At 43.9% G+C, this 18,929-nt stretch overlaps 1 protein-coding gene and 1 long non-coding RNA gene across 20 annotated transcripts in view, besides 3 other annotated features; both read left to right on the top strand.

The window, feature by feature from the left end:
* The window catches only part of ERC2 (ELKS/RAB6-interacting/CAST family member 2), a 960,157-nt gene that overhangs the window by 798,527 nt on the left and 142,701 nt on the right, over window positions 1-18,929 (top strand). The gene's annotated exons all lie outside the window — the stretch shown is intronic.
* Window positions 4,932-5,432: an enhancer, noted in NCBI's record as "H3K4me1 hESC enhancer chr3:55698537-55699037 (GRCh37/hg19 assembly coordinates)". NCBI's record gives its function as "activates a minimal SCP1, AML or CMV promoter by ChIP-STARR-seq in naive H9 embryonic stem cells {active_cell/tissue: H9 hESC(naive)}" and the evidence as "EXISTENCE:reporter gene assay evidence [ECO:0000049][PMID:30033119]".
* ERC2-IT1 (ERC2 intronic transcript 1) lies at window positions 10,472-12,735 on the top strand. Its single transcript, NR_024615.1, has one exon. It is a non-coding gene; the product is annotated as an ERC2 intronic transcript 1 (long non-coding RNA).
* Window positions 10,958-11,077: an enhancer, noted in NCBI's record as "active region_19978". NCBI's record gives its function as "activates an Ori minimal core promoter by ATAC-STARR-seq in GM12878 lymphoblastoid cells {active_cell/tissue: GM12878}" and the evidence as "EXISTENCE:reporter gene assay evidence [ECO:0000049][PMID:35858748]".
* Window positions 11,118-11,317: an enhancer, noted in NCBI's record as "active region_19977". NCBI's record gives its function as "activates an Ori minimal core promoter by ATAC-STARR-seq in GM12878 lymphoblastoid cells {active_cell/tissue: GM12878}" and the evidence as "EXISTENCE:reporter gene assay evidence [ECO:0000049][PMID:35858748]".

Raw genomic sequence — 18,929 nt, 5'->3', positions numbered from 1 at the left:
AATATCTCTGTAATTATTTATCAAGTATCTACTATGTGTTATAAAGCTTTAAAAGTTTACTTGCTCCATGTCTCCTGAATCAGGTTGAGCATTGAGTGCTGGGCTTTGCATTGGCACACACGGCCAAGGGAACAAATGGAACCATTCTCCCTGGAGACTTCATGCTATGCACCAAAAACCACCTGGCTGGGATGGGTTGGATATAGCTCTCGAAGAGTCAAGCAAACTGTCCAGCCAATAAAAAATATATGCCTGCAAGTTCAAAAGCCCTCCATCCACAGTGCCAATAAACTAGCCCAGTTAATAGCCCATTGGAATTAGGTACATGAAGAAGCTTAAAACTTTTCAGCCATTACAAGAAATACAATCATGTTTTGAAGTAGGGGAAACTTCAACAGAGGCCACAACCAAGTGAAATTACAAAGAAAATGTGAAAGTTGTCTTTTCCCTAGATCTTTGTACTCTCTTATCTTGGCCGAGCCAGAATAGTTACTTAAAATATTGGAAACAGCTTGTTGAGAAAGCAATGTTGCATCTTCCTTGCCTGGAGAAAAGCATGTACACACTTGCAGGCTTTGGTGTATTCTTAGAGAGGCTTCAAGGAATTGTGCAAGCAGGGTATGTTCTAGCAGATTATGGGTTCTTTGTGTTTCATGTTTCATGGCTGCCAGCAGCTGGCATCTTTCAGAAATCACATGAAAAGTGGGCAGAGCTCCTTGTGCAAACTTCCGAGCCAAAGGTTAAGGAGACTTTGTGTGTAACTCTTAATCTTGTTGGGAAATTTTAGGGTGAAAAATATAATTATACCTGAAATGCCAACAACCAAGGCCAAAGGAATGTCTCCTCTTTGGAGGGTTCTTTGTTGATAAGATGAAAAACTAAGCTCTTGTGCTCCTGCCTACAAATTATTCAGATTATTTGAAAAGAAATGAAAGAAGACACTGGGAGGGATAACCGTTGCATACTATGCTATGTAGCACTTAACTAATACTTACCTGTTTAGCAGTTAGTTCAATAAATATTTATTGAGTACCTGCTATGTGCACCTCAACAGAAGCTAAATATTCAAGTTCCTGCTCTCCTTGAGTAGTTTTACTCAAGTTAAGTATATTCTTACTCATCTCTCAATGTGAGGTTCTGGTCATAAGAAGAATTCAAGGACTCTGGAGGTTAGCACAGGGTAACTTTATATTGCATAATCTATAATTGCCATCAATTCTGTATAGATATAGATTAGCATGGGCGATTCAACAGGCTGGCATTGAGAGCTGTGTGGTGTGGCCTGAACACCAGTCCCAGAGGTCAAGAGGGGCAACACACAAAGGCACTAAAAAGAAGATAGGAAAGTGATACTACCACATTGGAATGAGGTGTTGTCATCAGCCGGCAGACCCCAATGGAGTCCTGTGAGACTTGTAGCCATGGAATCCAAGTCATGACGATGAGCATAACTTGTCCTGGAGTGGAGCACAACCGTTAAGGAAGGCTTCCTTTGTCCATGTGTAACTCTACTTAGTCTTTCTCTGCCCCACCATGTGGGTCTTAGGTTGCCCCATTTTACAGAGGAGAGGCTAAATTACATCTTGGTCACACAACTCAGAGGTAGAAGAACCCAGACTGTAACCCAGTTGTCATTCCCCATCACATTCCGTGTTCTTTGTTCAGTATTATGTGGCCACCGCTAGCTATCTGATATAGCAAGGGGTTATTCAGACCCAGCTCCTTAAACCACATGCCAAAGTCTCTCCCCAGATGAGTTTATGAGCCAGCTAACTCATGGTTGGGAAATCAAATAGTGAGATACATATATATATATAAAATTTATTATGCATTATATATCTTATATGTATATAGTGAGAGAGATATATAATTTATTATGCATTCAGCAATCTCTGGAATCATTTTTGGTTGTCACAACTAGGGGCTGGGGGTGGGGTGGCAGGGATGCTATTGGCATCCAGTAGGTAGAGGCCAGGGACTCTGCTAAGTATCCTACAACAGACAGGATGCAAGACAAAGAAGTATCCAGCCCTAGATTCAATAGTGCTGAAGCTGAGAAATCCTGGCATAGAGCATGTTCTCCAGGGGCAAACTGCCCACTTCTCAATTCCAGCTCCATCACTCACTAGTTCTGCAACTTGGAGGCAACTTTCGTAAACTCTCTAGGGTCCAGTTTTCTTCTCTTTAACATGTAACTAATAATAGCACACGCCTCCTGGATTTGTTGGGGGGCAAAGTGAGTTAGTGTATGGCCAGGCACTAAGTGAAGTGCTGGGCACGGTGTAATTGCTTAGGAGAGGCACCCTTATTATTTCCAAAACTGGAAGGTAAGCATCTGACTGTGGGGCTTCCATAGCTGATTCTCAGCTGCACTAGCTGGCAATCTTAGCTGCAGCATGCAGTCTCAGGATGATGAATGGCAGACTCAGGCACTTAGCATGTGCACAAATAGCCAGGTGCAATGTAGAAGGAAACTCTTGTTTTAAAGTGAAATTAAGTATAAATAATTTAGGCGATCACTCTCTAAAGGTTTCACTTTAAAAGAGTTCAGAAATTCCCTCTGGAATCTTTTTAAAGGTCTCCATTTATCTATGCAACTAGCATTTACATCACTTTTACAATGTGCTAGACGGTTTACATGGTTTAACAGATTTAATTCTCAAAACAGCATCATAAGATGAGCACTATCTTCCCTTGTTCTTTCTAAACAAGGCCACTTCTCCTGAAGTATGTGGCCCTGAGATCAATCAATGCTGTTAAGTTTTCATTCAGTATTGTTTTTCGTATTATGTTTTAGCTGTTATATTATCTTCCATTATCCTCCCCAACCCTCTCCACAAGCATAGGAATTTTAGCAACATGACAACATGATATAGGTTTTTGTGGATTAGCCTGGGAAACTAACACAATGTTTAACATATAATATACAACATGTGTTATGTAATAATGTATACATATAAGATATTGGTATGTGCTATTATTCGTTACATAATAACTAATATTATGTATATTAATAGGCGTGTGCTATTATTAGTTACATGTTAAAGAGAAGAAAACTGGACCCTAGAGAGTTTACGAAAGTTGCCTCCAAGTTGCGGAACTAGTGAGTGATGGAGCTGGAATTGAGAAGTGGGCAGTTTGCCTCTGGAGAACACGCTCTATGCCAGGATTTCTCAGCTTCAGCACTATTGAATCTAGGGCTGGATACTTCTTTGTCTTGCATCCTGTCTGTTGTAGGATACTTAGCAGCGTCCCTGGCCTCTACCTACTGGATGCCAATAGCATCCCTGCCACCCCACCCCCAGCCCCTAGTTGTAACAACCAAAAATGATTCCAGAGATTGCTGAATGTCCCCTGGGGGGCAACATGGCTCCTGGTTGGTTGGGAACCACTGCTTTTCCCCTACATGTCATTCCTGGATTTGACTTTGAACATTATCAGAGTTTGACCCGCAGACTGAAGGAACCTCACAGACTTTACAGTCTGAAAGTTACCTTTGACACTACTCAGAGGAAGCAGAGCTTTCTCACAGAGGGAGGGAAGGGAAGTGAACATTGAAAATGTCCATGTGTGTGTTACGACATGGAAGAGGGGACCAACAGTCAAGGTGTGCATGGCAGGTGGAGGTACAGAGGGAGGAGATGGTGATTTGGAAAGGGTGACATACTTGCCACTGAGAACCCAGCAAATCTGAACTTGCTGGTCTCCTGCGCAGTGATTGAGAGCTCCTGCTGGAGTCAACAGACTTGATTCAAATCCCCGCTCCACCGCTGATGAGCTCTGTGACCTTGGGTCAGTGATTTAATCTGAGTGCCTGTTTCCTCCCCTACAAAACCTAGGCAATAGTGTCTACCTCATGGTGGTGGTGTGAGCCCCTTACAGGTTCTACATGAGAAAGGGCTTCATAGATGCTAATCAGTTGTCCTGGCCACCCCACCTGAGGCTGTGATGTTTAAGGGATAATGCAACAGAGTCTGGACTCAGACTGCCCAAGTCTAAATCCATCTTGGCCACATGCTAGCTGTGTGATCTTGACTGAGTAGCTCAGCCTCTGTGAGCCTCAAAGCCCTCATTTCTAGTGCCTACCTAGCAGAGTCCATGTATGGAAGCTATGAGATGATGCAGTGAACCCTTGCCCAGTTCTGGAGCCCAGCAAACTCTCATCAGCATTAGCACCATGATGACACTTCCCACCTTATGATTTGTCTTTCCTTTCTAGGGCTGCCATAACAAGGTTCTGCAGGCTTTGTTCAAGGTGTAGGCAGGCGCACTTCCTTCTGGGGCTGTGAGGGACAATCTATTCCATGCCTCTCCTTTAGTTTCTGGTGGTTTGGTGGCAATCTCTGGTGTTCCTTGGCTTGTAGATGCATCACTCTGATCTCTGTCTTCATTTTCTCCCGGCGTTGTTGAGTGCATGTGTCTCCTTGTGTCCAAATTTCCCCTTCTTATAAGGACAACAGTCACCTAAGATCAGGATCCAAGATGACCTCATCTTAACAAATGAGATCTGCAACAACCCTGTTTTCAAATAAGGTCACATTCTCAAGTACTAGGGATTAGGATTTCAACACATGAATTCTGAGGGGGCACAACTCAATCCATAACAAGATTCTATGAATCATTTAAAGGTTTCTTCCAGCCCTGAAATTCCTTGCGGAATGGCTGAGATCTGAGTAGCTTGGGGCAACCAAATAATGGAACCCTGAGAACAGTGGAAAGAGCGCTGCTTGAAGAGTCAGGAAATGTGCTACTTGAGGAAAGTGTCTTGATTTTTTTGACTTTTAAAATCAGTTTACTTGATTATGTGTCTTCTCTGTCCTGTGGGGCTGATGACGGCTACCTTCTACACCTTCACCGCGCACCCTCTTCCCAAAATTATTCTGCAGACTGCAGAAGAATGTGGCTGTAAAGACACCTTGAAGCTTTCAAGGCTCTGTCTCAGTGTGTTATTATTATCCCCATTATTTATAAGGAATAAGGCGAAATGTTGACTCCCGTGTGGGGATTCAGTGTCTGTTAACAAGGCCTCATTTCTCCATCACTGCTTGCCTCTCTCCATCAAATGCAGACCTACTGCTAAAGTTTTCAAAAGCTCCCTGCGTTGCGAGATTTGAGCAAACTTGATCTTCCAGGTTAAACTTAAATATTGTTTCCATTTTGAAGCCTGTCATGTGGGTGTACCACAAAGAGCGTTTGGTTTCCCCACAACCTCGCCTGAAGCTCTGGGCCGCGGTATGTAGGCAGTAACAGAATACTAGGAAGAAAGAGAGAGCCTGAAATGGATCCTTGGCTCTCAGCCTGTGCAGAGACAAAGCAGGATGTAAGTAAAACCATTACTTCTACCTCCTGATCAAAGGCGAGATGGTAACCCAGCCCCTCCTCCCCACCACCCAGCAAGCAATTAACACCGCCTGGCGTCTCCTCTGCAGCGATGGCGGTTCGTGAGCTCGGGCTCAGGAGTGGTTGAAAGTGGGGGTGCCCTCTGTGCCCAGGTTGAAAAATGTGCGCATTTGCGAACAGAATGTATGACGAAATGGGGAAAACACAGAAACCAAGCTTGTTGACAGCTTACTCTTTTCATCTACATTTGATGCAGAGTGAGATCAGAATTTGCCAGTGGAACTTAGAAGGTTTGTATCACAGGAATTAAGTAGACTCAAGTCGATTTTGCAACCACCTATAAACTTGTTAAATACAGATTCTGATTCCATTAGGTCTGGGTGGAGCCTGAGATTTTACGTTTCTAACAGACTCCCAGGTAGGGTTATCAGATTTAGAGGGGGGAAAAAAATAAAAGGCTTGACATCCAGTAAAATTTGAATTTCCTATATTTTATCTGGCAACTCTTCTCCCAGGCAATGTTAATGCTGCTGGTGTGTGAACCACCCTTTGAGTGGCAAAGATGTACATCATAAAGACATAAAAACCTGATGAAAGTATAAGGCTGAGTTAGTGGCTGAGCATCTGGTACAATTTACAAACAAGCGCGTAGTTTACAGAATAGTCGCACTGCAAAATGTGACTTGGCTATAGGCAGAGACAAACCAATAGCAGCAAAGAGTGTGTGTACATGGTTAGAAACAGGGTTCCTTGCATTCCTAGGCTTAGAGTCCTGGGGGACAGTGTGGTACTCATGTTTGCTTTATATATTTATTTACTTAGCCACTTAGTTAATATTGGTAAATCCAAAGTAAATTTAGAACTATAAAAGTAAAAAAAGATTTTTTTAAAGAGCTAAAAACAATGCAAAGTTTAATGTTGAGGGCCTTGAAGAAGGCATTTTGCCACATTCTGCCTCCCTTTCCAACTTGCCCTCCGAAAGGAAGGGGCCACTGTAATTCCTCCTGCAGCTCAACCCTGATAGGTGATCTGCAGACGAGGTGGGGGCTGGGGCATAGGTTTACAATGACATTTGACATGCAAACCCAAGGGTCTGTTTCTTTGAAGCTGAAAGAACTGATTCTAGCTCCTTTGAGGATACTGGGCAACCAGAGTGGCCACTTACAGATTGCCAGAAAGTTGGCACTGAAAGGGAGCTTAGCCATCATCGATTCTAGCCCCACTTCACTGATGAAGGGGCAGCGCTGCAGACAGCAAGTTCCTCCTCCTCCGAGCCCCTTTCTCCTCTACTGGCTGCTCTGGCAGGTACATTGGAAAAGCTTTATTCCAGGGGCTGTGTAGGGTTAGGATTTAGTTTTTAAGGTCTGTTTTTTGGGGAATTTTTTTGTTTGGTTCTGTTTGAAAGTAAAGAACGATTGTCTAATTCCAAATCTTACTTGCCTGTATTCTGTAATGGAAACCATCTCCCTTCCGTTCATCCATTCTTGACAGTGGGTTGAATCTTGTATATATGTCTCCTGTGATTTTAGTAGGCTTGATTTATTTAATCAAAGGCAGATACCAGACTTTTCCCAAATTTAATAGTGCCATTTGTTTTATTATTCAAGTATTTATTGAGTACCTTCTATGTGCGAGGTCTGTGGAAGGTCACAGCCATCCAGAAACTAGAAGTTAAATAGCCCTCTCTCATTCAGCATGTCTCATCAGGACTTGGCTCTACTGTAGCAATGAATAAGCATGGAATTTAAGCTGAATTGCTCAGAGGTTAGTCATTTTAGCTGTTTGGCCGGCCTTAATTTCTGAAACATCAAATAACATCATATTTCAAGTCCCATTGATAGATAACCTATATGCCCCTACCCTTAGTAATATGTCTAACATGGTATTTTTCACCCAATTCTTTAAAATAATCTACATTCATGACTCAATTCTCATTATAAAATATTTAAGCTATATTGAAGTAGACAACTTAAAACCTGAATGTCTCCTTCACTCTGTCCCCCAACTCTACACTTCTCCCCAGAAGCAATAGACCCCAATTAATTGGTAGATATGTCCTTTGTCTGCATTTACAAATAATGCACACATAATTCATTTAACACAAATTAGATTATATTATTCAGCTTCTTCTGTGATTTGCATTTTTCACTTAACAGTATGTCTTGGTAAACTTTCCGTTTCAATATATATAGACCTACCTTATTTTCTAATAGCGACAGAAGTATTTCATGGAATTCCCCTGCCAAGGTTTATTTTAGCCACTCACAGTTAATGGGCATTTAGATAGTTTGCCATGTTTTGCTATCACAAACAAGACTGCAGTAAATAATTTTGTGTATATGCCTTTGGGCGTATGTGCAAGTATTTCTGCACAATAGAGACCCAGAATTTTAATTTTCTACATGAAATAAATCTGATAAGCTGATAAGAACAGGATTGGTTGCCAATTGGCAAATACATTCCAATCTGAGTCTTGAGTTTCCCAGCCCACGCTGTCCTGTTTGTGTTAATGCAGGATTGCCCCCAAGAGTCCTCCCTGTTCAGACCCTGCTGGCTGACAGTTTGAAATCTGGAGTTCAGCTTCATATATAAAAACCTTAGCTTTGCAATATTTAAATTCTTAAATACCCTAAAATGGTATGGACTTTATTAAACAGAAAGTGAAAAAGGGAAAATCTAAGGGAATTTCCCTGATAAATGGATTGAAAAGTCCATATTTAACAAAGCATTAGTCTCCCAGGAAAGGAGGTGGGCCCACTTTTTTTTTTTAAATAACCTTTTCACGTTTTTCTTCTCAGCTAAGCCAACTCCACAAATAGCCCAAACTAAACACGTAATGACTGTGCTGTGTTGAGATGTGTTTTGTTTCAGATTTTAAAATGCAGCAAATAAGATGTGATAGGCAGAATCTAAAGATGCCTTTCCAAGATGCCCATGCTTTATTCAAACACTAACCAGGTACTGGACGAAGGGACTTTGCAGCTTATCTTAAAATAGAGAGAGTATCCTGGATTATGTAAACGGACCCAATGTCATGACATTAGCCCTTAAAAGTCGAGAAAGAAAGTCTAAGAGTCAGAGTGGTGCAGTGGAAGAGGGAAGGGGAGAGATTAGGCAGCAGAAGAGGCAGAGAGGTCCCAAGGGGGAGGAGAGGAGAGACGAGGCTGTGATAAAAGGAAAGGGGCTATGAGCCAGGGATTGCAGGTGGCCTCTAGAAGCTGAGAATGATGCTTAGCCAACTGCCAGCCAGGAAAGTCCCACAACCAGACGGAGCTGAATTCTGCCAGTGACCTGAATGAGCTGGAAAGTAAATTCAGCCTCAGAGCTGCAAAAAAGATTGCAGCCCTGTTGACACCTGGTGATTTTGGCCTCATGAAACTCAGCAGAGAATGAACTGAGCCGTGTTGTGCCAAAATTCTGACCTACGGAACTGTGAGATAATAAATAGATATTTTTTAAAGTCACTAAGTGTGTGGTAATGTGTTAGGATAGCAGTAGAAAACTAATGCACAGACGAGTTGAACCAACATCTGTGTGTGAGACTTGGCCCACAGGACAAGCTGGTGCATTTTTTACTTTCTAGCAACTGGAGCAGGGTAAGGGCCCAATGTTATAATATGAAGAAGACCAGCTTGCATTTTCTAGGTGCTTACCTCATTTTAGGTGCTGTGCACGGTACTTTATGTGCATTTCTTACCTTGTTCTTCACAACAGCCCTACAAGGATTTATGCTTTTATTGTTATTATCCCTGTTTTATAGGTGAGGGACCTGATTGAGGCTCACAGAGGTTAGCTACCTGGGCAGGTGTCACATGGCTTATTAATGGCAGGGCTGGGACTCAAACCCATGTCTGTGGGACATCATACCCAAGTCTGTGCACATAAGTGCTGTACTTCACAGTGCACCACGACCCCAATTAAATATGAAGCTAATATGTTTCCATATACAAAATTGCTGATATTTAAACTCCTGCTAAACACTCACAACTAAGAATGCCTTTCATCACATAAAGCCCTTTAACCTTGTTTTAATGCCCTTGGAATACTACACCACTAGGTGCTGAGCAAGGAGAAAAAAAATCAAATTTGGATGGTCAAGGAAATAGGAGACTCCCACGCCACCCCCGCCCCACCCCCCAGGTTCTGCAAGCCAAAGCTCAGAGCACACTCTTACATTTCTCTTCAAATCCTTGGAGGTCTCACTTGCTCTAGATTGTGTCAAAGATTGTGCCCCTTCCCTGCACCAGGCACTCAATTCCAGGGGTGGAAGTTGTGATGGAGACATTTTTATAACTTGGACATAAAGATCAGGAGCCAAAAGGAATATCAGGTGGAACAAATGCTATTGCTTACATTTTATCTGGAGGTGGGGGTGCGGGTTGATGTGCCAATTTGCTCTCAGTTGCATGTACAGAAATTGTGACCTCAAATTCAGCCAATGGAAAGTCTGAGTATGAACATTCACATTGTTCAGACATTTAACAAATATGAACTGAGCTTCCATAATGTGATGGGGTTTGCATGAGAAGCTAATGATGCAGTAATGAATAAGGTGAGTTCCATACTCATAGATCTTCCAGGCTCCATTACTCCAGGCTAATGAAGGAAGCACAGAAAAGCAAGCAATTTCAGGATAGTATAATAAGTGCTGTAGTGGAGGAGGCACTAGATGCCTAGAGCAAATATGGGAGAGACGCCATACCGAGATTCAGAAGCCAGAAGTAGTGACCCTTGAGCTGTGGCCTCACGGATAAGTAGGAGTTGGCCAGGTACAGAGGCGGCAGAGGAGAATAGCCCAGCCCCAGGGGATGTCATGATGTAGATCTGATCTGGGAGCCTACCTATGTCCATAAATACATCTGGAGTATAGGAGGCAAACAGGCTATCGGTTGAGACTGAGGTCAGAAAGCCTTTCTGCTAGTTTTTTGAAGAGATTGAACTTAATTATAAGGGGACTTGGAAACCATTGAAAGAAAAGGCTGAGCAGTGGCATGGACGGATGTGGGTGCTTTAGAAGGACCCCTCTGGTGGAAGAGCCAAGAATTGATGGAGGGGAGTGAGTGGAGCACAGAGACTATTGGGACCTGAGAGAGGTGGTAGGGGGTAGAAAGGAAGGGTGGGGAGATCAGGGATGGGGAAAAGCAGCGGGATTCCAGAGCTATCTGAGGAGGAGGGGCCACGGGGTTTGTTCGTCTGGTGGAGGGAGAGAAGGGAGCCCAGGATGACAGACAGCCAGGCCTGATTTGGCCAAATCATCATGCAAATATTATTCTGGGCTGACAGGCCCAAGTTGCAGTCAGCAGAGGCAACACGGGCTTATAATTTGCCATTTGTGAATGTCCTGAGGACTGGAGAATCAGCTAGGAAGCAAATCTTCCTTCTGCTGCATAAGACAGCCAAAAGCACCTCTGAGGATAGGCATCTCAGGGATTTCAGAGCAGGTAACGCCTTTTGGTTGTTTTGAATATGCTGACAGAAGAACAAAAGCTTTCAGGAAAACAAAGCCCAACCCCTTAATGAAACAGGAAAGGATATACAGTTTCAAATGCTTGCTTGCTTTCCTTGTTTTCTGAGAAGAAAGATGCCTTGCCTGTTGAAGGTGGCAGATGCAGGTTGCTCTGTGGGCCTCGGGAAGGTTCACTGCAGCTGTCACCTGCCCAACCCACGTGTCCTGAGGCACTGTGACATCTTGACAGGTGTCCTGACTCTTGGCCTTGACATGTCCTGTCACGCCTGCCTGTCAGCTGGGACTGGGCTTGGGGAAGAGCTTGTGGGCCTGGGGCCTGGTAGTACTTGCTTAGTTAAACATCTGTGGCTGCTATTTCCCTGTCACAGGCTGGCAAGTCAGAACTACTCAGATTCACTTGCACAGCAATGGTCCTTCAGTCTTCTGATTATGTGGCTCTGCAACAGGGAGAGGGAGATATTCATGAGCAAGTGTGCAAAATGCATTTAATGCCTGCTAATGGTGTACAGCCATCCATTGCTTTGGTCTGCCCAGTGTCTGTCTCCCTATCTTTTGATACCAGGGGCCAAGTTTCTCTGGGGAATTCCTTTCAGTTTTTGCAGTTCTGGGACAGTTACCCTTCACCCAGCACTATGTCAATATGGGCACATGACTCAAGCCAGCCAATCAGAGTTCACTTTCCCTAGACTTGGTCACTCAGAGGGAGCTATCCCTTAGGCCACAGTGATTGGTTCAGAAATGGGCACATAATCAAACTAGACCAATGAGTCTCAGTTCTGAAATTTTGAGTTAAGATTGCTTGGAAAAAGAACTGTTTACTCTATGGAAATAGAAGCTGGAGTGATGAAATTTGGGGTACCGGGAGCGACAGGGCCATAGTGAGAAGAGAACCCTACCTGAAAATGAAGTCAGAAGGAAAAGGAAAGTAGACAAGAATGATGGAGAGAGAGGCAGAGACAGATCCCTGAAGACATCATTTAAGATCCCGAATTCACCTGTGCCCAAAGCCAGACTAGTCCTGAATGATTTAGTTACAAGAACTAATAAATGCCTTTTTCCATAAGTCAGTTTGAGGCCAGATGAATAGAAATTGCATCCCTTATTGAGTCCTGGCTCAAGTCAATTTAGCAAGCATTTGTTAAGATCCACGGTGGGAGCTATACCTCAGAGCTCCAGGGAGCACAGGAGGTGTGCTACAATCACAGCCATTGCCAGTATTGTTATTATTCCATTTATTAGACATTTCAGACACTCCTCAGCACTTTACACACATTATTTCATTTCACCCTTTGAGCACATCCTTTAATTAAAAATTGTTATCTACACTTTACAGGGAAAGAAACCTAGACCAGAGAAGTTAAGAAATACATCCAGGGGTGGGTGCGGTGGCTTACACCTGTAATCCCAACACTTTGCGAGGCCAAGGTGGGAGGATTGCTTGAGCCTAGGAGTTGAAGGCCAGCCTGGGAAACATGGCAAAATCCTCTCTCTATTTTCAAAAAATACAAAAATTAGCCGGGCATGGTGGTGTGTGCTTGTAGTCCCAGCTACTTAGGAGGCTGAGGTGGGAGAATTACCTGAGCCCAGGAAGCAGAGATTCCAGTGAGTTGAGATCATGCCACTGCATTCCAGCCTAGGCGACAGAGTGAGACCCTGTCTCAAAAAAGAAAGAAAAAAAGAAATATGTCTAATATAGTAATAATAGTGACAGAGGATGTGAGTTATCGTCTACACACTGGCAGGCAAAAGAGGTTACTTCCTCCCATCTCAAGGACTTGGAAGTAAGGGAAATAAGACTGTACACCCAAGAAAGCAAAATGGAATAGATCGGAGTAGAGATCTGCCAAGTTGCCTTACAGAGCCAGGACAGCTTCCAGCCAGCCAGGCTAGATCTAGCTGCCTGAATGTATTGACAGCAAAAAAAAAAACAAAATGAAAAAGGGTATGTCAGGAGAGGTGTCAGCCAACCATGGAGGCAAAAGCGGGGGAGTGAAAGAGGAGGATCTTGGGGATGCCCTTCATACCACTATCCAGGAGATGGGTGTCATAGCCACGGAGCTTCCCAGTGGCCAGGCCATCTCTAGGGGGAGATGAGAGGGAAGGTGGGGCCAGGAATCCAGCAGTCACTCTTTCCATCAAAGCCACCATCCTGCTGTGGAATAGTTCCCCAGGGCCTCTTAGCCTGATGCCCTTACATGACTACTTCAACCAACATCCCTAGTTTTGAGGATGCCATTCTTCTCTTCATCGTGACCCCTTCTACTCTCTTTTAAAATTATTTCTAGGCCTCTTCTTCCCTAGAGGCCGTGTCTATGGGAAGGGGACTGTGCTTGCCACAGTTGGACATTCCAGGTTCTGCAGTGATAGTTTCATATCATTGTAAATTCAGCTGGCCTTCGGAGTCTAACTTGGTTTCCCCTGTGACTTCCTACAAGAAGAGACTGAGTTGGTCAGAAGCTAATGAATCTTTTGGTCTATACATCTTTCAGAGTTCTCCTTATAAGATAATCACAAGGTCTCTATTTTGTAATGCTAAGGAGACAGGAGCTGGCTACTCTGGAGGCTGCCTTTTTGGAGATGTACTTCTTCTGTGGCCTGACAAGGAAGGTTTCAGAGCCTCCCGGACTCAAGGCCAGGCCTGGGTGATGGCATAGCTACCATGTAAAGTGCATTCTCCACCAGGAATGGTGGCTCATGCTTGTTAATCCCAATGCTTTGTGAGGCCAAGGTGGGAGGATTACTTGAGCCAGGAGTTCAAGACTAGCCTGGGCAACATAGTGAGACTCCCAGCTCTACAAAAAATAAAAAGTAAAAACAAAACAAAAAAAATAGTTGGAAGTGGGGGTGTACTCCTGTAGTCCAAGCTACTCAGAAGGCTGAGGCAGGAAGATCACTTGAGACCAGGAGTTCAAGGCTGCATGAGCTATGATTGCACCACTGCATTTCAGCCTGGGTGACAGAGTGAGACTTTTTCTTCTAAAAAAAATTCTTTAAATCAAAACTCAGAAAAATAAATAAATAAATAAATAAATAAAGTGCATTCCATGGATATACCTGTGCCCTGGATGAGAGGGGCCAAGCAGCTTTGCAGACAGAAAGAACACCACAAATTTAAACTGGAGTCCCAGCTTCATTACTAGCTAAGTGGATAAGTTTTCCAACTCTTTAAGGCTCAGTTTCCTCAGATAAAACATGAAGAAAATAATAGGATCTGCCTCCCAGAGTGGCTAGAAGACTAAAATGGAAAAGAAAAGAATGCAAAGGGTTTAGCAGGGCACCTGACGTGGTTGCACTCATTAGCTGTTAGTGGCTCTCTTCTTGCTGATATTTTTGCATCCTGGGATGAACACACATCCCTATCCACATACTTTTCTATGTATGATCTAGGCCTGAGTGTTCCATACAGTGACTCAGACCCTCAGGAAGGCAGGGAGTCTTGGAGAAAGAAGGCACCTGGCCTTATAGGTGGCCTGGCTGACCCAGCAACTATCCATAGGGTCCAGTCTGGAAATGTCAATGAGGGAAATGGGCCAGGGAGGCTTGGTTAGAGGGGCATCACAAGTCAGCTTCAGCCCCACATGCCATAAGGGAATGCAAGCTCAGTATAGCCATATCTGTGCCATTTTTCAATAGAATCCAAGAATCTAGATTTATTTATGATAGCAACTTATTTCAATTCTTTTAAACACTCTGCAGGCCCAACAACCAGCCCAAGTGCAGGAAACAATCTTGGGGCTCCTCTAATTTTGATCCATAATCTAAGGGCTGGGCAGAAATAGGTAGGAGTTTTCTGAGTTTGGGTTCCTGGAAGCAGACTCTTCTTTGTACTACATGACAAGGATGTAGTACAAGCTGTCCTTGGGGGATGTGTTCCCAGGAAACATCAATAAGGCAATGGGAAGGCAAGCCAATAAAGGGGGAGTTGTCAAGCCACCACTGTGGGCAACTGGTGACTGCAGCTTAGTCCTGCTGTGGAATGCTGGAGGCTAGTGTGGAACCTGAGTCATCCCACTTTAGGGGTGAGGGAGCTGTGATATGTGTGTCTTCATTCCTGACGGTCATCGGCCGAGGGCTGCTCCAAGGGGCATCAATACCCTCACACTCCTCACCTGCCACAGGCCTGTATAGGGTGAGCCTTAGAGGCCAGGGAAGCCCTCAGGCAAAGGCATGCAAGAATGGGCAGTTAGAGGTTGGGCTGCATACACTGAAATGGTCGAGCCTAGCAGGCCATGGAAGGGGCACCCACAGTGTCAATGAGAGACAGGCAGAGGAAGGAAGCAGGTCACCACCACCCACTGCATTAATAAATGTCCAAAACATCCATCTAACCTGGCAATTAGGGATGGATGGCAAAGGTCCTCATACTGGCTCCATCTGTCCTGTCAGAGGAGGCTTCCAACACATGCCTCCGGTCTCCTTCTCGTGCCAAAGCAGGAGTTGAGGCTGGAAAGAGATGTGAGCTCCTTGCAGGAATGTCTGCTGGCCGCGCTTGCCTCTAGAGGCTCTGCCTGTCAATTACAGAAAGATCTGCGAGACTCCATTCTCCTCTGTTATCTTCCACCGCAGTCTCCAGTGGCAACTCTGCAACCGTTTTCTGCAGAGTGGTTCAAATTGTTTTATATCTCCTTAGCTGCCAAGTACAATGTCATAAGCAATAAATAAATAAATTGTTGGCCTATATGGAAAGCATATTTTGTCCAGATGCATGCTTGAAACTTCAGCTCTGAAACAAGAAAGTCAGACTGGAAACCACATCCTCAAAGCTCAGGAGAAGTACACACAGAAAAGCCATTTGATTGGCAGGTGCTACCACCCAACACTGGATTTGTGTCCTGCTGATAGGACAGACAGTGCACCTTCTGAAATGCTGAGCATGTGAGGTGATACAGTTTGCTGGTGTTCATGCTTAGCATGGGTGGCCCTGCTAGACAGCCTGGAATGAAAGAGGAATCAAGTTTGGAGGATGACTTAGCTGAGGAGCTGAGACCTGTGTGTTTCTTTTGATCTCCTCTTTACCAGCTGGGTTGGGGCAAGCCTTCCTCATCAAGAAGGCTGAGTTCAGCATCCTTTTCTGGAGTGCAAACTGTTTTCCCAGCTATCTGGGCCTTCTTGGATGCAAAGAGCAAGGGCATGACAATATGTAACCAGGAATGAGGAGGAAGAGGAGGGAGAACTAGATAGCTCAAAATCAGCTGGGCATGGTTTAGCTGGCTTAGCCAGCCATGAGATGGAGCGGGCATTCCAAGAAAGAGCTGGGGCCAGCAGGTAGATGATCTGAGGAACAAATATGGCCTTGATGGCAGTAATCACCATAGAGAGCGCACCAATAGTGACTTGGACTGCCTGGGACAGCTGGCTGGGAACACTTTTAAATGTCATTTTTATCACTTTTTAAATTAAAAATGCATATGCATAAAAAGTTAAACAGTCTAGAAGATGCATATAGTGAAAAGTGAAAGTCCCTTCTGCAACATCCCCACATCTATGCACTCTGTCATTCCAGAGATTCTTCCAGGCTTACACACACACACACACACACACACACACACACACACACACACACACACACTTTTACCAGGTTTGAGATTGTTCTATACAAATTATTCCACAACTCCCTCTTTTGCACTTTGTGTATTGTGGACTTCTTTCCACATCGGTATAATCTGTCATTGCTTTGTGGTGCTCTTTTGATAGATTATAATACTTTGTTAAAATTTTTGAGGTGACTTCTCAGATTGCTTTCCAAATTGCCAGCCTATGGTGTTTGCAGTTGTTGCTGTGATCACTATTGCAAGTAAGAGTAATCTTTTATTATCTTACCTGTTGAATGCAATAGAATTAAAGTGAACTATGGAAAAATTCATGAAAAAAGTGATTACAGAAATGATGATTTTGAATATGCACTTACACACATAAAATATATATGTATGGTGTAATGAAATTCAAGAGAGATATTGGGCTGTCTGAATAAAACTAAAGATGTCACTTCTATATGTGAGTTATTTTTCTTGAATGAATTCCTTCACCTACCACCAAGATTTAGTTTGAGGCTTGTGTGTGTCCCTTGACTGGCAGCCCAACTTGGTAGATGAGTGTGAGACTTCTGAAAGATACTATATAGATGGTTAAGAATAATCTAAGCCATGAACTCAGACACCAATTCTGATACTTTTCAGTACACAGTCAGTGCGCTCAACTGTCTGTGCCTCAGTTTCTACATTTCTCAAAACAGAACAATAACATGTATTGGTTTTTTTTTTTTTTTTTTTTTTTTGAGACAGAGTCTTGCATTGTCGCCCGGGCTGGAGGGCAATGGCGTGATCTTGGCTCACTTCGACCTCTGCCTCCCGGGTTCAAACGATTCTCCTGCCTCAGGAGATTACAGGCACCTGCCATCACGCCCAGCTACTTTTTTTATATTTTTAAGAGAGATGGGGTTTCACTATGTTGGCCAGGTTGGTCTCGAACTCATGACCTTATGATCCACCTGCCTCGGCCTCCCAAAGTGCTGGGATTACAGGCATGAGCCACCTCACCCGGCCAACGTGCACTTCTTTGGGTGGTTGACAGGAGCAAAAGAGAGAATGCATATGAAGCCCTTACCTGGCATGAAGTACCTGCCCAGCAAATAGTGGTTAGTAGAGTTAGGAAGAGGTATGTGATCACCAGCAGACAGCAGGCATCTGGTCAGGTGTGTGTGCCTCAAGGACCTGGTCTGTAAATGTCCACCTTTATAGGTGCTCACTCTCTTCTCCCAGCCAAGTAGTTGGGGGAAAAAAAATAAAATAAAATGAATGTAGACTAATGTCAAAAGTCAATAGTCAACTAAAACTGTTCCAGAATGCCTCAGGTTGTCGCAAACCATCAGCTATTACAGACTAGAAACAGAACCTGCTTTCCAGTTGTAGATGATAAATAAACACAGTGCACTGCCCTTTACAACGAGCAGCTATTTTTTTAACCCATGCAGATGTGTCCTATTTACATTTAAGCTGTCACACAAATTAGCAAAGGCCCACAGAATCTGAAAAAAGGCAGGCCTCAGAGCCCAGAAATGTTCGCAGGAAAGGAAAATGGCTTATCCCGCTCCTCATTGCTGTGGTGGCACAGTCTTGATAGGGATTGGGAAGAACTGAAGAGCTTTTCTGGGACAGCAGAAATGTTTGCTGACCAAGCAGGCTTTGGAGCTAATCTACAAGGCTGGGTAAAATGAAATGCAACAGCATTCCGAGCTGCTGGGATTTTGCCTTTTTTGCAATCTGTGAAAAGCCTTGGACCTTTAACAGATATAAAAATCCCCTCATTTGGTATAAGCCTGTGTGTGGCAGAATGAGTCTAATTAAAAACACCAATCAGAGAATAATGGATGATCCCCTGTTTCTCTGAGGGTAAGATTTCATTGACAAAATACTTGTTTGGCTATACCTAGTAGACTTACTCCTTATCAAACCACATGTATGGACTGCTAGAGGGAGAATATGAAAGACTGAGCCACATATTCAAAACCAGTAAGGGCTGGGTGGGGCAGTCTTCAGAGGTTTTTCAATCTCTTTCATAAACTAAAGAGATAAAGGTTCAGAGAAGCGAAAGACCCAGTTCAAGATCCCCCAGCTGAAGCCTGAGACTAGAACCCAGGATGTGGGGCTTACACAAAATCAGTGTCCGCTCGATCACATGGCTTCCAGATGATGTTTCTCTTGGGGAAGGCCCATGGACAGGAAGATGTAGACAATTTAATGTAAGCTTTAAAACTCTTATGGCTGAACTTTCCTGGAGAGCAAACAAAGCCCTGATTGTATGAGTCCAGAGAGAGTTTGGTTCTAGACGAGCAATTCCTTAATTCTCTAAGCACTGTGGAAGACCTACAGAGGGCTAGCCTCTGGCGGAGGCTGTGGACTTGCAGAATGACATGCACAGGTCCCTGCCCTCACAGCAGTGAGGGCAGACTGGCATATAACATCCTATGAGAGGCAGGCCAGGTGCAGTGGCTCACGCCTGTAATCCCAGTACTTTGGGAGCCTGAGGTGGGAGGATCACATGAGGTCAGGAATTTGTGACCAGCCTGGCCAACATGGTGAAACTCTGTGTCTACTACAAAAAAAAAAAAAAAAAAAAAAAATTA

The sequence above is a fragment of the Homo sapiens genome, chromosome 3, assembly GCF_000001405.40.
Source record: "Homo sapiens chromosome 3, GRCh38.p14 Primary Assembly".
Lineage (NCBI taxonomy): Eukaryota > Metazoa > Chordata > Mammalia > Primates > Hominidae > Homo > Homo sapiens.
This window is presented reverse-complemented; position numbering and strand designations above follow the sequence as displayed.